This window comes from Homo sapiens, chromosome X (genome assembly GCF_000001405.40).
Source record: "Homo sapiens chromosome X, GRCh38.p14 Primary Assembly".
Taxonomy (NCBI): domain Eukaryota; kingdom Metazoa; phylum Chordata; class Mammalia; order Primates; family Hominidae; genus Homo; species Homo sapiens.
The window spans coordinates 155,233,042-155,240,268 of record NC_000023.11 but is presented as its reverse complement, the minus strand read 5'-3'; the positions used below and the strand labels follow the sequence as shown (position 1 = coordinate 155,240,268).

Here is a 7,227-nt window from a genome sequence, read left to right as displayed (position 1 = left end):
AGTATATGTACAAGTAAACTTTACAAATACGTGAAAAGACCCATGTTAACTTTAAAAAGGTGTTATTGTCTGAATCTTTGTGTCACCCCAAAATTGTTATGTTAAAATCTTAACCCCCAAGGTGATGGTATTAGGAGGTGGGGCTTTTGGGAGGTGAGTAGGTCATAAGGGCAGAGCCCTCATGATGAGATTAGTGCCAAATTAAAGAGGCCCAAGGGAGCTCCTTGCCCCTTCTGCCACATGAGGGCACAGTGAAAAGGTGCCGTTTACGAACCAGGACACAGCCCTTACCAGACACCAAATCTGCCAGCACCTTGATCTTGGACTTCCCAGCCTCCAGAACTGGGAGAGATAAATTTCTGCTGTTTATAAGCCCCCCACTCTGTGGTATTCTGTTATAGCAGCCCAAACATAGTAAGACAAAGAGTAACATGAAAAAAGTGCTCTGCCATAGTTTTAGCATCACTGTTTTAATTTCATGAAATACAAGTACAAAACATTGTATAAGTATACTTTTTACTACATGGAGATGAACTAATACATTTATGTTTTTATCAGAATCTGTATCACCCAGCGCTGGTCAATGTACTAGTAGCTTTCCACAGGGATTTTTTATACTATTCCTATAAGGTTTTATCATGAATAAAAAAGCTCACAACTCTTTTCAGCCATTGCAGATTCACATTTATCTTAATATTCCTGTTCAAGATGCTCTGGAGAACTGTTAAGAACTACAAAATCACCTTAGGCAGAGTTTTGAATGAGTAATTTTATTTCACGTTGGCCAAGATCTCCCTTATGTTGGCATTGCAAAGACACTGCACTTATCTGAGGTTAGAAAAAATGTAGTCTTAATAGCCCTCTTAATGTGTAGCAAGGCAAATTACCATTTCCTAAAATGTCCAGAATATCATAGTAGTTAGTTATTCGTTAAGCAGTAAGTCATGAAACTCCACTTATAGAAGACAATAGCAACAGAGGACCACTAAGTCCTAAATATACCAAAGAAAAACAAGTTTACAAATATTCAAACTGTCTGTCTTCTCTACCTCTAAAATGGTTTAACCACATCAAGTGAGAGTAACATCAGCCAATTAGAAAGGGAAAAAGTAAACTGTGCTAGCGTCCGGCATTCAGCTTCCATAGCATGTCTCACAGTTTTCGGCCATTTCAGCTAAGAGTTTTCTTATGACAGGCAAAAATAATGATTAAAATACCATTAGCTTTGCTGAGAAATGTGGAAAAAAAAATCACAATGTCAAAAATATTTGAAACTAATTTTGTTTTTATAAATAAATAAAATGGTGTTTATCTTTTCTTAAAATTCTTGCTGTTAAAACATTCAAAGTTATGTCAACCTGTAAGGATAAAGGGGTATTTAAGATAACATGTTTGGAAAACTAAACCACATTTTTAATTGCCAGCATTATGCTTTGTTCTTGGTAGAGTCATCCTTGTTTCTTCTTTTTACATCCCAATTATAAACCCTGGCCATATCTGCAAGAATTGTCAAAGAAAATGCAAATGCAATTCTAAAGATAATGCATGCAATGACTAAGTATTCACTCCACTCACACAATGAATCAAAGACACAGAAATGAAACATATACAAATACTGGTAACAAATAGTATTGTAAGACATCCTGCTATAATGTCAATTGTTAGGAAAATACTATAATTAAACTCTATCAAAACTAAGGACTCAAATTAATTGTTAACCCATTGTTTACTATGGTATTAGTCAACTGTCAGCTAGTCAACTATGATATATTTAACAAATATGTACTAGACACTCTCGATAGTTTTAAAGACAGTCCCTCATCCAAGAAATCTGAAAGATCACTCAACCCATATCCTGCCATGTAATATTTATATTATTACAATTATCAATAATTTTATCTCTTACCCTCCCTTTGGCTTAACAAGTTTATTAAGCATCTACTGTATTTTTGACTAGGCACTGTACAAAGCCCTGACCTGAATAAGACAGGTGAAGTTCTTTTCCTCGTGGAGCTTAGACTCCAGTAGAATGTCAATGTAACAGAGACTGTCCACCCTAGCTCCCTCACTTGTCTGCACACCTTCCTTTCCTACCTTTTGCAGTACTAGCAATAACAAATGGCATTTAACTAAGCTTGTAGGACTCATCTTAGAGGATTTCCTCACTTTTGGCTCCTGTACCCATCTAAGTCACTGGATCCTGTTTTTTTCTCACACGTTTAATATCTTTTCCTTTCCACAAGCCACCCGTCCTAGGCCCTCGTCATCTCATAGCTGGATGAAGTTTCCACACTACCCGTCAGATGATGATGACCACTGCACTAGGCCCCAACAGGCCTGCCTTCCCTCAGCCAACCATAAACAACTGCCACATGCTGCACACTGGAAAAGAAGAGAAAGTGCAGCTCCTACATCTGAAGAGCTCACGGTTTGGCAAGGTAAAACTAAGCAGTATGTGTTAAGCAAGCACACAAGAAACACTCTGAGGATCAGAAAATGTTCAGGAAAGCTCTGATGCTTGGACTGAGATATTTAGGGTAAAAGGGTAAAAAAAGAGCACATCCTGTAAATATGGGAAAGTCATTCCAGTTAGGAGGAACAAAGTGTAGAAATGCAAAGGGTGTGGCACAATTGGGGAGTGTGTACAATAACTGACTGGGGTTATCTGGAACCTGGAATGCACTGGGGAAAGGCAAGAAGAGGTCAGTGGCATGAGGTGAGACAAGCTGGGGGCACTTCACAAGAGTGCCTATATGTATATCTTGTAAGTAACAAGGAACCGTTGAAATATTGTAACCAGAGGAATAAAAATGAGTGACCTAGTAAATTCATACTAGAGATAGTGGGAAGGACAGATGGAATGAGAGGAACCTAAAAAGGTTCTGAGTGCAGGTTTTGGAGCCCCAGAACGAGAACAGTAATGGGCAGAGAGATTTATGAGGGAAATTTGATGTGAATCTGGCGACTGATTTATTATTGGTAGTGAGGAAGAGAGAAGTGTGAAAGGTGACTCCCGTGATTTTGTCTTGAGTGACTGTGACAGGAAGTAGGAGGAAAAGACAGGCCAGAGAAGAAAGGCAAAGAGCTTGCCTTCCCCCTTGACCAGAATACCCCACTCCCACCTCTTCTCTCTGCTGATCTTTAAACCCTACGCCGCCTTTAAAAAAGCAGCCTAACTTTTATCTTCTCAACAAAGCCTTCTTTGAACTAAGTCCAGCCTACATCTATCTTTCCCAAAGTTTAAATTGCCTTGGTGTTGCATATGTTAACTTACTTATAGTTTGCTATGAATTATCATTCAGCTGTTTTACATGTACAGTTCTACCAGAGAAAGGCACTGCCACTCTTTTCTAAAATTGATTTTCATGCCCCATATGTCTTAGCACAGTTGCAGGAACATAGGAGACCCTTAAATGCTTGTGAAATTAAACTATTTAACCAGTTATAAAGTTGTCTTGGGAAAATATTTGGAAGAAAAATACTTACTCACCTATGTGAATTTGCTGTTTCCACATCACATTTCAAAATCACTAATCTATCTACAAACTTATTTAAGTACTAGTTCCGAATATCTTATTTATTATCTTATAAAATCTATAACCTTTATATTAGCCTAATAAGGAAATTCTTCCCACTAAAGCAATGTAAGAAAGAATGTGGGAGGTTTTTTGTATTCTAATTTTTTTTTAGTTCTAGGGTACATGTGCAGGATGTGCAGGTTTGTTACAAAGGTAAACGTGTGCCATGGTGGTTTGCTGCACCTATCAACCCATCACCTAGGTATTAAGCCCAGCATGCATCAGCTATTTTTCCTAATGCTCTCCCTCTGCCCATGAAAGAATGTTTTTTTAAAAAAATCTTTCTCCTTTTTTCCCTTGCTTTTTGTTTTAAGAAAGGATACTGACTTCTGTGGTAGTAAATTGATCTCGAAGAAAGTCAAGGTCTTCCTCCAGGGAATCAAGATTCTTTGTGGCAGTCGATAAATTCTTTTCCAACAATGCCTGAGCTTCATCAATATCATATTCAAGCATTACATTAGCCTGAAGAGAGAAAGTCATGACAATTACTCAATATTTACACAGAGCTTTATAGGTTAGAGTAAAGTGTGGGCAAACTACAGCCCTCAGGTCAAATCCAGCTTGCTGCCTTTTGTTGTAAGTTAAGTTTCACTGGAGCCCAGCTATTCTCTACTCAGGCTTTCATACCACAATGGCAAAACTGAGTGGTTGAGACAGAGACCATGTGATCTACAAAACCAAAAATATTTACCATTTGACCTTTTACAGAAAGTTTGCTGACCCCTTGGTTAAAGAATATATTTACATACATTGTATCATTTAATCCTCAACCCTGCTGAGGCCAAAGTTGTCTTCTTCACAGTTAAAGAAATGAAGGCTCAGGTTTCCTTAGCTGGCATAGCTAGTGGGTAAATGGGAGAATCAGGATAAGAAACCAGTATGTTTAGATACAAAATCCTATCTTTCTACTACCTCCATCGTGAAACTAAATAGTGTTGTTTGTATCAATTTAAATAAATTCTGAGCTTGAGATATGATATTAATTTAAAATTTTTCAAAGACATTTATTATCATCTATATTTGACCAGGTAAAAAAGACAGCTAGCTTTTACCTGTCCCTTCCTACTACTTCTGACAGATGTTAGGGATTAAGACAAGGTAATGTGTCTGTCATTCTGAAGATCTAGTGTTACTGCCAACATTCAGGGATGCATGTACCCTGGAATTGGGAAGCCACACCTTTTACAGCTTTGAACTCTCCCTATCACCTGACTTACCACTGGCATTTCCTAAACCACTTTCCTCATCTCACAAATGCAATTTTAAAATTACTCAAAGGATTGTTGTAAGGATTAAACAAGACAACATGAAAGTATTTGGCACAAAGTAAATGCCAAATAAATACTTATTGACCAAATAATCCAATCCATAATTAGAAAACTGTATTAAAATTCAGATAGGACAAAAATATTCAACATAAGCAAAGACTGAACATAAATATAACAAGAATCCACAAAGAAAAAAAAACCAAAGCAGGGGACCAAAAAAATTTCTAAATCCTTCATTTCAACAAAATGTTCCTGAAATGTGACACATGCACATACTACACACACACACACACACACACACACACATACACACACACACACTGGGTGAAATGACACGCAAAATGAAATGAAAGGGTACTTTGTATACCTGGGGGAAACTGACCCAAAAGTCCTTTGAGCATCCAGGCAAAAAGAACACATCACTCATAGAAGAAAGAAATCAGTTTGCCCTCACACTTTTTGACAGTGATGCTTTACAACAAAAGAAAATGGGGCACTGTATAAGATGCTCAAGGAAATAAAATGTGAGTTTAAGATATTATATCCAGCAAAACTGAATTTCAAGTACAAAGGCCACAGACAAGTTGTCAGCAACATGAGATAACTCAGGGAATATCATTCCCATAAATCTTAAGGCAATCTACTTATCAGACGAATGAGTAACATACAATCAAAATGACTGGATGATGACTGGGGGGACATCAACATAAAGACTATGATGTGCATTCAATATTTACACGAAGAACTAGGATAAATGAAAGATGAGAGAGAGAAAGAGAGAGAGCAAACAGTATATAATGGCTCTGTGCTCCAACAATGTGGGAACAACCTTATAAAGAATGTGTAAGGACAGGAAGAACATATGCAAAAATGTCAGTGGTAACAGTGTTGGGTGGTGTTATTCTAAGAATGCTTTGCGTGTGAATAGTAATGTTGTCTAGCTTAATTCTATCACCCTTGGTATTTCTGAAAACCAGGATTCTTGATATAGAAGAAACAGGGGGGCCAGGCGCGGTGGCTCACACCTGTAATCCCAGCACTTGGCAGGCTGAGATGAGTGGATCACTTGAGGTCAGGAGTTCAAGGCCAGCCTAGCCAACATGGCGAAACCCCGTCTCTACTAAAAATACAAAAATTAGCTGGGCGTGGTGGCACGTGCCTGTAATCCCAGCTACTCAGGAGGCTGAAGGAGGAGAATCACTTGAACCCAGGAGGCGGAAGTTGCAGTGACCCAAGATCACGTCACTGCGCTCCAGCCCGGGCGACAGAACAAGACTCTGTCTCAAAAAAAAAAAAAAAAAAAAAAAAAAAAACAGAGGAACAACTAAAGTGAAAACTCTGTTGTCCTGAATTTGAATTGGAGGTAACAGTATGAAACCATGAGGTACACACATATTAACCTGAACCTTTGCACACAAGTTTATGCAGGTTAGCTATATCCTACTGGTTCTATTTCTCCGGTTGAACCCTGACAACAGATTCGTTCACTTACACTTTGCTTTATGCAGTTTTCTGATTTTTTTGTTTATATTTAATATTATATACATATAGAAAAGTATTCATATCATAAATATATAGCTTGATGTATTTTCACAAACTTAACACACTCATGGAACCAGCATCCAGATCAAGGACAGGTTATCACCAACACCCCAAAGCTTCCTTGTGAACATTTTCAGTTACCACCAGCACCCCCACCGCAAAGGTAACCATTAACCTGACTTACAGCATAGTTTTGCCTGTATTACAACTTTACATAAACAGAATGACACAGTATATGTGCTCTTTTGTGACTGACTTCTATAGTAGGCAAGAATTATGGCTCCCATAACAGCTGTCTCATTCTAATCTCTGGAATCTGTGACTCTGATGAGATATTTACATCATTTGTCAGAGCTGACCTTAATATACAGACTGCCTAGGTAGGCCTAATCTAGTTATATGAGCCCTTAAGAGCAGAGAACTTTTTCTGGCTGGCAGCAGAATGAGAAGTTTGAAAGATCTAAAGTGTAAGAAAGACTAGTCATATCACTGCTTTGAAAACAGAAAGGACCATGAGCCAAGGATTGCAGGTGGCCTCTAGAAGCTGAGACTGACTCCTGGACGACAGGCAGCAAGGAAACAGGGACCTCAACCACAGAGAACCGGATTTTGCCAATAACGTGAATAAGGCTGAAATCTAATTCTCCCCCAGAGATGCTAGTAAGGAATACAGCCCTGTTGACAATTTAATTCTGGCTTTGTGGGACCCTGCACAGAGGACCCAGCCAAGCCCATCTGGATTTCTGACCTATACAGCTAGGAGATAATGGATATTGTTTTAAGCCTCTGAGTTTGTGGTAATTTGCTATGCAGTTTCTTTCACTCAACCTTGTTTGTGA

General features: G+C 38.4%; 1 protein-coding gene across 4 annotated transcripts in view; it reads right to left on the bottom strand.

Annotated features, from left to right (window-relative positions):
- Window positions 428-7,227, bottom strand: part of VBP1 (VHL binding protein 1) — a 42,835-nt gene continuing 36,035 nt past the window's right edge. For all 4 annotated transcript variants that reach the window (NM_001303544.1, NM_001303543.1, NM_001303545.1 and 1 more), the window contains 2 exons: window positions 3,902-4,040; window positions 428-1,497 (listed from right to left, as the gene is read on the bottom strand). In NM_001303544.1, the coding sequence (NP_001290473.1) occupies window positions 1,427-1,497; window positions 3,902-4,040 (210 nt within the window). In that variant the 3' untranslated portion in view covers window positions 428-1,426. The remainder of the gene's footprint in view (window positions 1,498-3,901; window positions 4,041-7,227) is intronic.